This window comes from Homo sapiens, chromosome 11, assembly GCF_000001405.40.
Source record: "Homo sapiens chromosome 11, GRCh38.p14 Primary Assembly".
NCBI lineage: Eukaryota > Metazoa > Chordata > Mammalia > Primates > Hominidae > Homo > Homo sapiens.
This window is the reverse complement of record NC_000011.10, coordinates 112,481,472-112,499,240: the sequence shown is the minus strand read 5'-3', so window position 1 is coordinate 112,499,240 and position 17,769 is coordinate 112,481,472. Positions and strand designations below refer to the sequence as shown.

The 17,769-nt window shown below is 40.9% G+C and overlaps 1 long non-coding RNA gene across 2 annotated transcripts in view; it reads right to left on the bottom strand.

The window, feature by feature from the left end:
* The window catches only part of LINC02763 (long intergenic non-protein coding RNA 2763), a 59,685-nt gene extending 42,676 nt beyond the window's left edge, over nt 1–17,009 (bottom strand). Inside the window, exons 1-3 of one of the 2 annotated variants that reach the window (NR_120560.1) lie at nt 14,625–14,896; nt 13,462–13,572; nt 11,405–11,482 (exon numbers count right to left, since the gene is read on the bottom strand). This is a non-coding gene — a long non-coding RNA (long intergenic non-protein coding RNA 2763). Of the gene's footprint in view, nt 1–11,404; nt 11,483–13,461; nt 13,573–14,624; nt 14,897–16,785 lie in introns of those variants that run through there. The other variant, NR_120559.1, reaches the window with a different exon arrangement.
* Nucleotides 17,010–17,769: the final 760 nt, after the last annotated feature.

Below are 17,769 nucleotides of genomic sequence, written 5' to 3'. Positions count from 1 at the left end.
TGCCTAGGAGACACCTCCCTACCCTTCAAGGCCAAGCTCTCCTGTCACCTCCTCTGGGCAAGCTCCCCTCCTCTGCACTCCCACATCTTTGGGTTTATTCTAAGGATGGGTATATAACCTGCGTGTCCCCCACAACCACCCAACAAAATCACTCAGCAGCTTTCTCTGGTTTATTTCCCCTGTCTCCTGGGTAAGATCAGAGCCTTGAATTTACTCCCAACCTGTTGCGGGGAGGGGAGAGGGGGGAGTTTGAGTGAGAATGCCAGAAGCAGGGCATCATGAACCAACGAATTCATTTACAGAGCCTGGGGCAGAACAGTCATCCCTAGACATACCTGAAAGCTATTTGGTCCACTGCCCACGGCAATGTGTTATTTATGTGCTCCAGTGGCCACCCCAAGTGAGGAAAGTAGTAATAACCCCCATGTGTGCTGCGTTCTGAGTCAGGGCTGCAGTTATTCCAGACATTGCCATGGTATGAACTGGAAAGAGGTTTGCCCCTTCTAATGCATGCAGCTCCCACCAAATTGCCCTTGTCGAGTGCAGCTCAGGCTGGATTTCAGCCCCTTCAGCTAGGTGCCCTTATGCAGTGAACAACCTACATAACCTTACTAGGCTAACTCAACATGAGCTACAAAGTAGAGTTAAGCACTGATGTCTCAGAGATTTGAGCCAACGACCATTTCCAGTTCTTACTCCCCCACTAGTACAGCCAGCCCCCTCACTTAGAAATCTGACATAAGCCCATGTGAACTAAGTTAGAAGACAATCAGAATGAAGCATGGTGACATGATAGACAGTCACCAGTTCAAATCCCAGTTCTGCCATTTACCACTCGGTTAGCCTTGGCAAGGATTTCAGCCCATTGGACCTTTGTTTTCTTAACTGCTAACTGAAGCCCCTAATGCATTCTTCTGGGGGGTATAGAGAGGATTAAAGGAGGTAATAACCACATATCTAAAGGATCTAGTCCATAACAAGAGCTCAATAAATGGTATCTGTGATTGTTGAGCGGTAGACACTGAAATTATTCCTCACCTCTTCCCTGGGATCATGTTCTCATACCTCAAACTCTTGCCATAGGGTGAAACCCTCAGACAGTTTGTTGCCTCATACAAGAGATCCCTAATGGTTTGTTGAGCTGGTCCTCCCAAAGTGTCTAAAACAAACTGAGACACCTGCAAAGCAAATGTTAGCTGTATGAGCATCTATCTCAGGTATTGGACTGTGTTTTCCTCAGTGGAGGAAACAGTCTTACTATCTTTGTGTCATTTGGTGCACCCGGTCATTAACAGCTGTTGAATTACAGAATGATCACCAAATCTCTGATGTCAACTGGCTTCTCAGGGGGAGCTGGTCCCTCTGGAATGCCTTGTTTCTTCAGGCTTTGCCTCCAGTCCAAGACAAGTCCCCATGAAAAGGAGGACACTATTTTAATATCTAGAGGTCATATATGCCTTAATGTAAATAAGTTTATCAGACTTATCAGATTCTTTATAGAGAACCAGTTTTAATTATGGAAAAATGCTGAAGAGTTTGGGGATTCTTTATGGTTTAAGGATCTAGTAAATATTTTATATATTTTTGTAGAGTTAAGCTTTGCCAGAGTATCTATGACTATTGGTTCTATTGACAATATTAACCAACACTTGAATGCTTTGCAGCTTTCCATATGCTAATGACATTACTAAGTACTTTTATGTATATTGACTTGTTTAATCCTCCTAACATCCTGTGAGATAGATCCTATTATTTTATAAATTAACAAACTGAGCCACAGAAAGGTTACATAACTTGCCTAAGATCACATAGCTCATAAATGGTGGAGCTAGTATTTGAACCCAGCAGTTCGGAGCCAAAGGCCTTTCTTATAACATCTTTCTACCATGTCTCACTAGGGGTTCAGCAGTCAAGACTCCTGATACAGATGCCTGACCATTCTTCAAGTCAGGCTGGAAAAACATCTTACAATAAAACCCCATAATTTCAGTGCCTTTTTGAAACCACAAGAAACCAAAGATTAAAATTGGATAGGAGAGAAATTATTGTTACTTTCCAATATTATAATTGTTTATTTAGAAAACCAAAGAGAATCAACTTAAAGAGTACCCAAACAATAAGACTGTGATAACTGCTTACAAAATTAATATACAAAATTCAATAGCTTTTCCAGAAATAAATACCAATCAGAAAATATAATGGAAGAAAAGATCCCATTTAGAATTATAATCCAAAGAAAATATATTTCAAAAAAAACTTAACAAGCAATATGTAAGCTCTATATGAAGTGAACTTTAACCATGTAAAGGAAAAGAAAAGGTTTAAATAAACATAAATACAGTCCCTCTTCTTGGAGAGAAAGACTCCTTACAAAAATGTTCATTTCCTGCATTAATCTATAAACTCAACATGGTCAATACCAAAACAACAGGGGAAGGAGTAAAAGGGAGGGTAGAGTCCTCAGGTGGACTGCGTATTAGTCAGTTTTCATACTGCTATAAAGATACTACCCAAGACTGAGTAATTTATAAAGGAAAGAGGTTTAATTGACTCACCACTCAGCATGGCTGGGGAGGCCTCGGGAAACTTACAATAATGGCCGAAGGTGAAAGGGAAGAAAAGCACCTTCTTCTCAAGGTGGCAGGAAGGAAAAGGAACAAAGGAGGAACTACCACACACTTACAAAACCATCAGATCTCGTGAGAACTCACTGACTATCATGAGAACAGAAAGAGGGAACCTGCCCCCATGATTCAATTACCTCCACCTGGTCTCTCCTTAGACCCATAGGGACTATGGGGATTATAGGGATTATAATTCAAGATAAGATTGTGGGTGGGGACACAGCCAAACCATATCAGACTGTGAATTTCAAATAAAAAAATAAAATGCAAGAAGGGCCACAATATTCCTGGTAGAGTAGCAGCCTGGTAGAGTGGAGGGGAGGGGTGGTATACGGTAAACGCACCTGATAGCAATAACTTAAGCATACTCTGAGAACGACCCTGTAAGGCAGACACACCTGAATACAGTTCACAGTTCCCAGCTAAGGAATCAGGCAGTGGCCAATCCCCAGATGCATTTCCTATCTATGAGGAACATCTGAGCTCCAGCACGCTCCTGTGGAAATGAGTCCATTTGTTTTGGGCTTTGAGTGAAGGTTGACAGGTGGAGGTTGTTAGGGGGAGGGCACTGAGTGAAAACTTGGTTTATGGTATTTTTGTTATGAAGACTTTTAATGTAAACTACATGACTTTTGCAAGTGATTGCGGTTCTCCTGCCCACCCCACTGCTACTGGACTCAATCCCCTGTAGGTATGTCCCCAGTAAAATCCCATGTCTAGCTCGCTGACTCTGGGTCTCTTCTTGGGCCTCTTGAATCTGGTCCTGTCCCCATTGGAGTTGACTGGAGTTCAGCACAACATGGGGTATTAGCCCTACCAGATATTAAAATATGCTGCAAAGTCATAGTTAACATTGTCTTCCACTGGCATAACAATTAATAGCCAAAGGAATGGAAGTGAATCAAAAAATTAGAAGTAGGCCCAAATATACATAAGAATTTGCTGTACGTAGAGGTAGTTTTTCAATGCAGTGTGAAAAAGATTAATTACTCAATATATGGTTTGGGCTAACTAGCTAGGCCATCTTAAAGAAAAAAAAAAGGAATCCCTTCTTCATTTATTTATACCAAAATAAATTTCAGATGGATATAATATTTAAATGAAAAACCTAAATCATAAGAGTACCAGAAGAAAACACAAGAGAATTTTTTAACATAATTTAATAGCAAAGACTTCTTTAAGCATAACACTAAGCCCAGAACACATGAAAAAAGTGGATAAACTTTGTTAACATAAAACGTTAAATGTCTTCATAACAAAAATACCATAAACCAAGTAAAAATAAGCAAGCAGTAAGGAAGGAAAAAATATAACAAAGGATTAATATTCATCATAAAAGTAGAGTTCTAAACAAGTCAATTGAAAAAAAGTGAAAATGCCAAATGGAAAAAAATAATGAAAAACATTATTACAGGAAAAAAAATGCAACCAACTTTTAACCATGTGAAAGGATGCTCAATTTCACTCACATTAAAGGAAATGCAAAGTAAAAATCACAATGAGATTTCATTTTTTGCCTACTAAATTGGCATAGAACAATACATTTGATAATATACTAGGGAAACAGGCACTCTAATGCACTGCTCTTAGGAGTTCTAAACAGTACAACCTCTTTGGATGACAGCTTGGCAATATCTGTCAAAATTTTAAATTCCAGACCTGGATGAGATTGGAGACTATTATTCTAAGTACAGTAACTCAGGAATGGAAAATCAAACGTTGTATGTTCTCACTGATATGTGGTAGCTAAGCCATGAGGATGCAAAGGCATAAGAATGATACAATGGACTTTGGGAGAAGAGTGGGAAGAGGTTGAGTGACAAAAGACTACAAATATGGTGCAGTGTATACTGCTCTGGTGATGGGTGCACCAAAATCTCACAAATCACCACTAAAGAACTTACTTATGTAACCAAATACCACCTGTACCCCAATAATTTATGAAAAAATAAGATAAAACTTAAAATTCCACATCTAAAAATTTATCAGATAGTGTATACAATGATGTTTACTGTCATATTATTTACAGTAGCAAAAGAAAAAAATCAGAATGCATATTAATAGGAATCTATATACATTCCGATACATTAATAAAATGGAATCTAATGTAGCCATTAACAAAATCAAGCAGGCCAGGCACCCTGGCTCTTGCCTGTAATCCCAGCACTTTGGGAGGCCAAGGCCAGTGGATCACTTGAGGCCAGGAGTTCAAGACCAGCCTTGCCAACATAGTGAAACTGTCTCTACTAAAAATACAAAAATTAGCCAGGCGTGGTGTGGCACACACCTGTAGCCCCAGCTACTCGGGAGGCTGAGGCAGGAGAATCACTTGAACCCAGGAGGCGAAGGCTGCAGTGAGCCAGATTGAGCTGCTGCACTCCAGCCTGGGCGATAGAGCGAGACTGTCTCAAAAAAAAAAAACAAAAAGAAAAAGAAAGTAGACCTATATATATTAATATGGAACAATCTCCAAAATGTTAAATGCAAAAGGAAAAATGCAGAACAGTGTGTATAATATTCTATAATATCTCTTTTTTTAAGTGGAGTATATAAATACATATTTTTAAATGGAGAAGATCAGCGATTTTCTAGTTAGGTAGCAATCCATTTATAGTTGGCAAAATCAATTTAGTAAATTGCAACCAAGATTCCTTAGTGCCTGTATATTTTATTTGGAGATTTTTATATGTTTTATTTAAATACTGATTAGATCATTTGATATTAATTTTATTATGTTTTTCTTTATCATATATAGTAAAGGTAAGTATTGTTTGGTGCAACTTTTGTTAGTTATATAATTGCTAGTGGGTTTTTAATGGTTTGAATGTGTCCTCCAAAGTTCCTGTGTTGGAAACTTAATGCCCAATGCAACAGTGTTGAGAGGAGCGAAGGTTAAGAGTTGATTAGGTCATGGGGGATCTGCCCTCATGAATGGATAAATGTCATTATCACAAGAGTGGGTTAATTATCTCAAGAGTGGACTCGTTATAAAAGCAAGTGTGGCCCCCTCTTGTTCCCTTATTCTCACACTCTCTTGTCCTTCCACTGTCCACCTTCTAACATTGGATGAGGGAGAAAGGCCTTCACCAGATGTTGTCCCTCAACCTTAGACTTCTCACCCTCCAGAACTATAAGCCAAATAAGTTTCTTTCTTTATAAATTACTTAGTCTCTGCTATTCTGCTATAGCAACACAAAACAGACTAAGACAAATGGGAAGCGTATTTTTTATTCTGGGTTATAGACAAAAAAGTTTGAAGAACGCTGGTATTGACTGTCTTTGGAAAGACAAACAACAAATTGGTAAATGGCCTTTAGGGACTGAAATAAGGGACTGCGTCAGAAGTAGAAGGAGATTGACTTTGTCCACATATCTTTGTACTATTTGTATTGCCTATTCACTTTTTTTTTTTTTGAAGAAAAAAAGGGAATGAGATAAAAAGCAAAAAGGTTTTTTTAAATTATGCTTTTTATAGTAAGGAGAGTGCTTACTTATATTTCTATTGAGTGCATGCCAGGGAAAATATAGAATTTGGGGGCTCTACTGTTTTTACCCTACCTTTTCACCTACAGTTTTACCCCTGACTCTGGAGACATTTTTCTTCATGTTTATCAATTCATACATTTAATTCATAATTATACAAACATTGCTAAACTTCCAGAGAGCAAGTCTTTTCAGTTATGCATGCTCTTGAGTTCATTTAAATCCTCAGTTTTACATACTGTCACTATTAAACCATTTCCATTTTTCTTTACATATTTTCATTTAACAAAATCAATCTTTATCAAAATCATTTTCTATATAACATTTTAAATAAATATTTGATTAAGTTTTGTCCATATCACATGACTAGTTATTATTTCTACCATTAGGAAGCTTCCTTTGCCACCATTTTGAACAATTCCAGTCTTCTTTAATCTGGTTTTGTATATCTCAATTGTATCATGTGGATCCTTACCAATAAACCATGTGTGGTTTTAGTTGCTGTCAGTTTTATTTCGTGTTATTTCAATCATGGATGTTTATTATGATTTGGCTACAGTGTTTTAGAGTTAACCCATGAAAAAATTATAAACATTCTTCCTGAGATATTTCAGGCTCACTCTGTGGTCCAAGAGTGGTCTATCATATTTTGAAGCCAAATTTTGGTGTCCTTCTGAAAACTTGGCGAGATGTATATTACTTCTCCAAGTCACTAAAAAAGCCAAGAACAAACCTCTGATCACGTAGTGGTATCAACAGCTCTCATTTTGATTGGTGGTGTCAAAATGCATTGTTTGACACTTAACAAAGTGCCATAACTGTGGGGTCAAAATAGTAGGATCAAAGCATCGGAGTAGGCACTGTGCTAGGGGATTGGGTTGTAAAGATGAAAATGTCAACTACTTTTCTTCAAAAAAAAAACAAAGTATTGTCTTATGGATAATCCAAATCCCTAACAAATAATGATACTGTAATGAGTAAGTGCTAATTACAATATTGCTGCAAACATCGTTAGGAATTTTATATGTTTGGGACCCTTAGAATAGAAATAAATTTTTCACAGTAAGCAGGTGGAGCTTGAAGCACTAAGGTCTGTCCTGCTGGGAACTTTGCTTTGACCAATGTGACCAGGTGTGCTGGGATGGGGACAGGTAAATACAGAGAGCAGAGATGAAATGAAGAGTTTGAAGCCAAGATCCAGAGAGTCCGATGTAGGCAATTAATGTTATGTTTCCATTCATCTATTTCTTCTCTGGCCATTCTTCTCTCTTTTTCTCCCCTAGGAATGTAGATCTAAAACCTGAATTCCCAAAGAGTCTGGACCTGGTTTTCCTACTGTCTCCTTTCATGCCTGCTTTCTGTCCTCCCACCCTGCCTCCATCGGGGTTTGAAAACACCACTCCAGAGCACAAGTAACAGAGGCTCTGGGAGTGTAACTCCTGAGAGGAGAAGGGACCAACAGAGGAGGCCGATGTTCCTCCCTGCTTCAGGAAATGCAGTGTGTCCATCGTGAAAATGTCATTTAAATTCCACATGGTTCTTCCTTCTTCCAGGGGAGCTTCAGCTGGCTTGACTCCTAAACCATTTATTTATAATGAATTTCTGTCCTGGGCAAATACTAACGCTAATAACCACAGCATTAATTCTAGGGTTTATCTAAATGGATAGTTTTGGGCTTTGGTCAAAATGTGCTTCTGTCTGCAAAGTTACATGAGTTTTCTTCAATGGACAAAATGCTTGACAAGATAGTAATCATTTTAGCAGCCAGTTCCCTACCCAGAAACAGACTGAAATACCCACCATTGAGGCTTGCAGACTCACTAGCCCTCTGGCTTGCCCCCTTGGAACTATATTTTTACTGCCTATAACCCACTTCCCAGACAAATCAGAAAGGACAGTGGCCCAGACTAGAGAGGGAGAGTTCCCAGCAAACCCCCCCTACCCATTCCCCCTCTTCTGCCTGATTCAGGGCCACACTTCTCAGTAAGGAAGCTACAGAGCCAAAGGGAGCCCACACCTCATGCACTCAGTGGTCACAAACCCAGCATTCCCCTTCACAGGCCACACCTGAAGACGGAAAGCTGAGGAGGCAAACAACACTCTCTGCAAGGAGCGGATTGCAGGCAGGAATTAATGCCTTGGAACATAGTATTATTGGATTGATTTAAATAGATGATCCTCCTCTCTTTAGTAATAAACGGCAGGCTCCGAAGGGAGCCAAAGGAATCAAAAGAAGAAATGGAAAAGAAATGAGAAATAAGAAAAACAAACCCTCCAAAATTCTTCCTAGGTTATTGCTTTAGAAGGATCTTTAAAATTCTGTTCCAAATTGCTGGGTCTCTGACAGCGCTAGTGTGATAAACTGATGAATGTCTATTTAATACCAAAACATAAAACATATGGATGGTTATTTAGAGGACAAATGCATTTTGACAGATAACTAATTTCATTCTATTGATAGGACATATTTTGTCAGACTCTTCATTTCATTTGAGACACAATCATTTTTGGTTTCCAGTTCCTTGCCATGGTGGAAATGCATTTGTCAGGCCCTCTAGACCCAAGACGGATTTAAAATATTGCCATCACAACTCTGCTTAAAACCAAGCAAAATTGGAAATATCTCCTATTACCCATTCACACAAGAAACCTTACCAAGTAAATACCTTTTTGTACCCAGTTGGGTAGCAGAATCATTCAAAGTCTCTAGTATAGATTGGTACCAAATACCACCCACCCATGACATATTGAATTACATATAAGCAGGAAAGTAAAGGTGGGTAATTCTATCAATGCTTAATGGGCAGAAGGAAAAGGCTCAAGTTTGTATTGGCAAAGCTCTACTCCTCCTTCATGCTTTAGTTCAGCAGTTACCTCCTCCTGGAGCATTTTCTGACTCAACCAGGCAGAAGTAAGCTTACCCTCCACAAGTTCCCATTGTTCCCAGCCATGCCTCCACTAGATCCTTTTATCACTCTGCATTTTACTTTTTTTTGGTAGAGAACTTGACTTTTTATTTCTGTATCTTCAGTGTCTAGCAGAGCACCTAGTACATAGTAGGTATTCAAAAAGTATTTGTTGAATGGGAAAGTAAATGAATGATTATCTCTATTATAGCATTTATCACCTGAAATTATTAATTTACCTACCATTTTCCTACACCAAATCATGAGTTTCTTGAGTGTGAGAAATAACTTATTCATCATATGCTTTTTCTAAGCCATGAGCGTGGGTCTGGCATATAGCAGGTACTCAATAAATGTGTCAAAAGGATGGATGGATGGATAGATGGATGATGGATAATTGTTTGAAGCTGCTGTGTATCCTAGTATTTCTCAAAGTCATCAGCTATATATATACCAGAAGCATTTCTTTGCTCAGTTTCCAGTCTTTGGATTGTGAAATTTGAACCTCATTTTTCCAAAGACAGGAAGCATCTGTTTTAAAATTGGTTTCCTGAATACTCAAGAACAAATGGGGAGCTCTTAAAAAATCTAGAGAAGATAGCTTGAATATCTGTTGTTAGATCCTATTAGATGTCCCCCAAAATGGATTCTCCTATTCTTCCTTAGTAATAGAATCCCCAACATTTTGGCTCAGCACAAGGTGCCTGGAATAATAATATTTATTTTCTAGCCTCCTTTACAGATAGATATGCCCATATGAGTCAATTCTGGCCAATGGATTTAGGTGGAAGGGTCACGTGGAACTCCCTGGAAGTGTCCTTAAAGGAAGGCGGCATGACTTTGTTTTTCCCTTCTTCCTTTCTACTGTTAGAATACAGATGGCTAGATCTCAGGCAGCCATCTTGAATCATGAGCTGAAAGCTACATGTTGAGGATGTCCCAGCAGCAAGATATCAGCCTAGGTCCTGACCACTTTGTAACTTGTCCAGTAAATCCTGGATTCTCAATCTCTACACTTCTTTTACATGAGAGAAATTTGGGGGTTTCTGTCACTTGTAGTTTAACCAATCCTAATGAATATAGGGATCTTGGCTGGCCACAACGTAAGAAATATCAAAAATCTCCTATCAAATTGAATTGAACTGAACTGATACTAGGCACACTAAATATTAGATACACTAAATTTAGGTAACAGAAACTTCACTGGAAGCACAAGATGAGAGATTTTTGAACCGGACAACATATCTCCAAGAGCAGCTAGCCCCATATCCTACTCTGCTCTGGGCAAGTTCCCACCTGATGCTCATTTCATCCTTAATATGAGGGAAGAAAAACAACTACTATTGCTAATATTAAAACAATTCCTTTTTGTCCATCAGACACAGTCCCAATCTGGAACTGTGGATCAATAAACAATCTCCCTAATAAGAGAAATCCTGCAGAGAGGAGAAGTGAGGAGAGTTTTCACTTGAGTTGAAAGTTCTCACTCTCAGCCCATAACTATGAAACATCTTGATTCAAATAGGCAAGAGCTTAATTTCCATCTCCATTTAGAGCACTTTGACTGTGGTCATTTTTCTGATAATGTCTGGGAATTTCATGGCTTTTTAAGCAAGATGAGGTAGAATAGTTGGATTTATTGCGGGTGAAATGCTGGCAGAAGAAACTTCAATTTAGCAACTGTTATCATGGACTACTAATCAAGGACTCCTCGGAAGAGTGGGGCCACTGAAAACAGTTATTACTCAATGCTAATAAAAAAATTATGGATCTAATAAAAGTTAATGGGAAAATATCATGTGCCATAAAAACTGCAGACAAAGCAAAGAATGCTGGGCTGGGGGAGAAGATTCCATGATAATTTTGTATTGTCTGGGAGCCAAAATTGGCCATGTCCATAATACTTCTGAAGTGCAAATGGACACGCAGATCAAATTAAACTGTGGAATACTTAGTAACAGAATCATCTGCTTTTGTAAAAATAGAAAGGAGCAAGTGAGCTATTACCCAGCAAACCTAACTCATTAACTACAAGGAAGACCACGGTCCATGCTTGGCTATTCTTTGTAAATACGAGTAAGCTTCTTTCTTAAGGATTCTATGTGTTTCCCACCTAGATTGAGAGCTTCATTCCTCTAATGGGGCACTGTCTTGTGTTTGAACAGTGTCTATGGTTCTTAGGAATTTAAGCTTCATACAGCATCCACGATCCCTATTGAGAGATGGAAAATCAGAGGAATTGATAAACCTTCTCCCATTCATTCGGCTGCCGTCCTAGCTGGGCCATCATCATCTTCCACTTGGACTTCTTTACAGCCTCCTAACTGATTTCCCAACTTCTACCTGGCTTCATTCTTTTCCCACCCATTCAGATCCATTTCCCACAAAGCAGCCAGGGTGACCTTTTAATTTACAAACACAATTGGATCATTCTTCTGTTTACAATCCTTCAGAGGCTTCTCTTGGCTCCTAGAATAAAAACCAAAATCTTTATCAAGACTCAAAAGGCTTGGATCCAAAAGATCCATAATTTGGATCTGACCCATTTCTCAGTCTTCTCATGAGCCACCCAGCCCTTGCCCCCACACCCAGCCATCTAGATGGGAGCACACACCATGCTCTGTCGCTTCTGGGAGTTTGCACTTGCTGCTCCCACCTCACCCACTTCTGCCAAGATCATTATAACTCATCATTTCATTTCCTCAGGAAGGGCTTGCCCTGCCCCCAGATTAGGTTAGCTTCTGCTGATAAATGCTCAGAAGGCAATCTACTTGCCCTGTTGTAAAATTTAGTGTACTATCAATTACCTGCACAATGTCTGTCTTCCCCACTAGACTTTAAGCCTCTTGATGATAGGCTCCATGCCTGTTTTATTCACCACTCTGCCCAGCACCTAGTGCCCTGCATGGTAATTACAGACTCTCAAATCCTTCTTAACCACCTAACCTAAATGAATAAACAAATGAATGCATTACCCCAAAACTCAGAAACGCTTTGCTAATGCCAATGATTATAAGATGAATTCACTATTCAGAACCCTGTATAACATAGAGATTAAAACATGTATCCAAGCAGAGATTTAAAACCCAAATCAGGCAGGTGCAGCATGCTTGGAGGGAGTGAACTTCATGGGCAGACACTATGTGCAGCCCCTGCCTAGAGACAAAGAAACAGGGGTGCCTTTTCGGCAGCCTCAAATTGCCTCCCAAAGTCAAAAATGAATCTTGCCAGGAAGCCTCTTTCATAGTTTATTAATAAGAGCTCTCAGGATGTTGGAGTTGGGAAATCATTATGAAACCTTCAGAGTAAAGATTGGTTCAGGCAAGAATTATCAATAGGATGCTAAATCCAGCGGGGAGTTTTGATGCTTGTATGGTCTTAAATTGCTTATTAGTTGCAAAGGATAAAATAGTAACTATATGGTGGGGAAATTGAACAACACCTTGACCAGTTGATCAAAATTAAGAAGGAGCATATTGACATTGTGTGACTCTAGTTGTAATACCCTGAGAGCAGCACAGCATCACTTAGGTAGCATTCTGACCTGGAACGAATAGCCCAAATCCACGATGACAAAGCAAAGGATAAACCCAACATGAAAGGCTATGAGAATATTTCAGATTAAAGGAGACTAAAGAAACAAGACGATAAAATTTAATACATTATCCCAAGTTTGGATCCTGCCTTGGTGGGAAAAAGTGTTCCAAAGGTCATTATAGGGTTAACTGACAAAATTGGAATACAGAAAATGGATTAGATAAACATATATTAATACTAAGCTTATTGAGGTTGATAACGAACCTGTGGTTACACAGGTGGTTCTGTAAGAGAATGAGAAAAAGAATACCCCCTCTTTTAAGACACTTTACACTGAAATATTTCAGGGTAAAGGATCACAATATATACAACTTATTTTCATGCGGTTAAAGAATATATAGTTTGAGCCGACTGGGCACGGTGGCTCACACCTGTAATCCAGCACTTTGGGAGGCCGAAGCAGGCGGATCACTTAAGGTCAGGAGTTCGAGACCAGCCTGGCCAGCATGGTGAAACACCGTCTCTACTAAAAATACAAAAATTAGCCGAGCTTAGTGGCTTGCCCCTGTAATCCTAGCTTCTGGGGAGGCTGAGGCATAACAATCATTTGAACCCTGGAGGTTGAGGTTGCAGTGAGCTGAGATCATGCTACTGTACTCCAGCCTGGGCAACAGAACAAGACTTCATCTCAAAAAAAAAAAAAGAATATATATCACACACATACAATACAGAGAGAGACAGAGAAAGAGAAAAAGAGATGACAAATCATAAAGCGAATGGATTAAATGTTAAAAATAGAGGAATCAGGGCACACTTTGTACTGTTCTTATTCTTGTAATTTTCAGTGAGTTTGAAATTCTTTCTAAATTTAAAAAATTATAAGAGGCCTTCAGGCCAAAACTAAAACAAACCTTTTCCTGCTCCAAGATAATCTTCTGGCCAACAGGTGAGAAAAACAACAAAGCGCTGGCTTGTGTCAAATCTTGTGAGGCACCAGAATCTTTGTCTGCACTGTAACATCCCTGAAAGTAAGGCAAAAATGGAAGTGAACTCGCACCCCCATTTTTGGGGAGCACACACATAGGGATCACATGGGAGCACGCTAAGCTCCCATGTGCTGCCCCTTAGAACTCTTGTGGGCCTCTAGAAACCACCCCAGAAGCCTTAACATGCAAAGCACCACCACAGAGCAGCACAACTGCCTAAGAGTGTCTGGTTGCTTAGCAACCCAGACTCCTACTTGACTAGATAAAGCAAAAGATTTCCCTCTGGGTCACAGTATTGATGCACTACACTGAGAATGCCTCTGTTGGTCAAGTTTTAGGTGAGACTCTGGCCAGAGTCAAGTCTAGGTTCTGAACCACAGAAAGCAGCATCCATGGCTCTGAGGGCTTGAGCCAGACACAAAGCCTGGGATCTAGAAATTCAGCCTAGAAAAATTCAAAGCAAACAGACCTTTTATCAAGTCACTTCAACTCTCTGAGCCTCAGTTCCCTCATGGGTAAAAAGAGACAGCTAGTATAGATCCATGGTTCTCATATATAGCTGAATTTTAGGACTACCTGATGAGCTGGTAGCCAACCATATTCTGCTACCAATGAGATCAGAATCTGTGGAGGCAGGACCCAGGCATCGGTTATAGTTGTTTTTTTTTTAAAGCTCTTCAGATGTTTCAAATGTGCAGGCAGGTTTGCATGTGTCCTTCCAATATTCAGGTGTTGCCAAGGTGATAGTATAAAGAGGTGGGGCCTTTAAGAAGCAATTAGGCCATGAGGGCTCCTCCCTCATGAATGAGATTAGGTATCCTTATAAAGGGGCTTGACAGAGGGGGCTTGTCCCTTCTTGCCCCTATGTTGTGTTGGGACACAGCATTTCTCCCCACCAGAGGACACAGCCCTCCCTCACCAGACAATCAAGCCTGCTGGCACCTTGATCTTGGAGTTCCCAGCCTCCAGAACTGCGAGAAAATAAATTTATATTCTTTATAAATTACCTAGATCATGGTATTCTATTATAGCAGCACAAATGGAGTAGCACAGCCTATTAAGTCTATTATCTTTATTGGTACTGTTACCTAAAAGGGTATCTTGAATCCTGGTCTCTTCTTCCCTCCTTTTCCACCAGGTAGAGCCCTGTGACCCCACACAGCTCTGCCCTACCCCTAGCACTAACCCTGACCCAGGTTAGCTTTGCTGCTCTCGGTCATATTTGCTGCTTGTCCATCCCCTTCTTTCTTGAGGCTCAGGCCTACTTTGTGCCTCTCAAGAACTGTGAAGAGCCTGATATTTTATAATACTTACAAGGTAACAAGTTAGCCTGCCATATTTTCATGATTACTTATAGAAGATATGAGACTCCAGGGTCAGAGACAAGAGGCAGTTTACTACTTACAGTAATTGCAGCAGCCAGTGTATCATTATTTTTTGCACCAGTTCCCTAGGCCCCAGTGTCTACAAGGCAACATAAAGAAGGCCAGATGGCACTTGCACACACAGTGGGTTGTATTATAAGATAGAAACCCTGAACTTAGGAAACTTAAATCTTTATAAGGGTCAATAGCTATGACTGCTCTTTGCTCCAGAAAGAAATACAATCTCTATTTTCCAGGCTGTTCACTACACAAACACCCTTGAAAAGATAGTTCAGAGCAAAGGGAAGTTGGTGCTTGTCTCCAGAATGTGCAGAAATGGGAGAGATCTGTGAAGGACTGCCTCTCATCACACCCTATGCTGGAGCCCCTGACTTGCTCATCAGCTTGCCCCTGCTAGTTCAGAGTGTCCTACCTCTGAATCCCAATTCTGCAGCTGGGACCTAACAGCTAACTACCTATGTCCAAGCACCTGAATTGCTCATAATTCCCTAGATTACTTCTCTCCAAACTTTCTTCTCAGGCAAATGGGTGCCCAAGTCTCTGATCCCTGGTGGGAACTCTCCAAGCTAGAACAGAACATAAGAATGTGTGGAGCTAGCCAGAGGCTGCAGAACAATGAGCCAGAGAAGACAGTAGGAGCATCATTCAGGTTAAATGGAGGGTTGCAAGCTAATCACACAATCCAAATCACTAGTTCTCAAACTTCAGTGTTTTGGTGTTGAAGTTATTTCACAACTTCAGAGTGTAGCAGAATCACTTGGAGAGAGTGCTAAAACACAGATTGTTGGGCCCTAACCCAAATGCCTCTGATTAAGCAGGTCTGAGCTGGGGCCTTGCAAATATGCACTTCTAATAAGTTCCCAGGTAGTGCTGATGCTGTTCTGGTCTAAACTTTGTCCATCCAAGGTAACTGGGCTGAGAAATAACAGTCAGATTGAGACCAATGGAAGGCCAAGTGGAGGAGGTAACAGGAAGGTTTAGAAGAACCTGAAGGGATATGATTCAGCTGTGCAACCCAGAGGCCAGACACTTCCTATAAAGCTCCCTCAGCCTTGCCTGTGGGTCAGGGAGAGTGCTATTATAGGGTCATTTAGGGCAGTGGGATGTTGGGCTTCCATCATGTTGACTACTCGTTATCCCAGATGCTATGCCCCCTGTTAAACATGGCTCCTTCCAGTGTCTGTGGCTGGCTCTGCTCTTAGGGTCTCATCCTACCCCACAGGTAGACCTTGTTGGAGTTTCTGTTCCTCCCAGCCCGCCTGCTCCCAGTCAAGCTAACCCAGCCATGTTAGTTAGCCTGTTTCCCTTCCCCACATTTATAGATCATACACACCCGCCAAATTCATTATTCTCCCATCTCTGCTCTGTACTCAAGAGGCTGATACCCTCACAGACTACAATACCTGGGCTACCTTGTGGCCTGTTTCCAGTTCCATCTGGCTAAAGGGACACACTGGCAAAGATCAAAGGATGACAGATGAGTTTCAGCTGTTCACTCTCCTCCTTCCTCCTCAGAGCTGTATCTCTCGCAATATTTGCATCCCATACTGTCTCTTCTGCTGAGTGGCCCCTGCTCCATGGTACCAGCTTTAAAACTGGAATATCATTTCTATAAAGCCATTTCCTCCTCTTGTCCCTTCAGTGCTCGGGGTGGTAATGGCTTCCTGCTGTTATTTCAGGGGCATCACTACCCATCACCTGTTCCCCTGGTCCTGCCTACACTGCTGTAAGCAGTTCCTTCAGTGAAGTCTCCTAAACCTCTGAGCAAGATTCTGTTTCTACTGAGAACCCTTGAGGGACATAGTCGTCTCGCCTGATCACACCCCAAGGTGTACCATAGCTCCTCTCTGCTGGGTGGAGGTACCTGAAGTGGGCCCTTCTCAGGAATTGAATTGATAAAGAGCTTCCTATAACTTCTTGAGAATCCATCTTGAACTCCACCCCACTCCACAGGGCTCCCCTAGTGATACGAAGACGGCAGCAAAGGTGAAGCCACATCAGACATGACTGAGGTCTTGTCAGCCAAGCATTGGTGGGCTCCTCTCCCCAGAGAGCTTCCCTCAGTGCCAACGAGCAATAGAGCAAGGCTGCCCCCCAAGAGCAAAAGTGCTCCTAAGGCCCTGCTAACAGTTTCCCAAAGTCTTGTCAGGAACAGGAGGCTGGTACCAGCAGCACTCCGGAGTCTCTGATGTTGCCATGGTAGCAGTAGGGTCACTGCTTAGCAACAGACCAGAGCTGCAGGAAGTTGCTAAGGTATTTTCACATGTGTTAAAGCAAATGGATGTTTATCTCAATCTTGAGTGTAAATACACTGTAGGGAAAAAAAGAGAAAACATGTACACACAAACCACCTACTGATGTTCAGAGCTGCACGTCTGCTGATACTTGAGGCCTGAAGCATATGCCTTCTCTCTGGAGGAAACAGAGAGACCATAGATGACCCAATGAAGTACATCCTCTTACCCCCTAAAACAACTGTTCACCTGTCTTCCCACCAACCCAGGCTTAAAACCTTCCCCATCATTTAATTTCCAATAGAATTTCCAAATCTTTCTCCTAAATGGTTTTTGAGAGGCCATGTGGCATACTAACTAAATGTGTGGACTCTAAAGCCAGACTATGTGAGTCCAAAGCCCGGCATTGGCCCCCTCTTTCTTTGTTACTTTGGACAAGTCACTTAATATCTCTGTGCCTCAACTTTCTCATCTGTAAAATGGGTATAATACTAGTGCCTACCTTACAGGATTATGTGAGGATTAAATAACTTCTTCCATGTCAAGCACTTTCAACAGTGCCTGGTATACACTGAGGGCATTGTTAGGGATAGCTGTTAGTAACATTCAGTGAT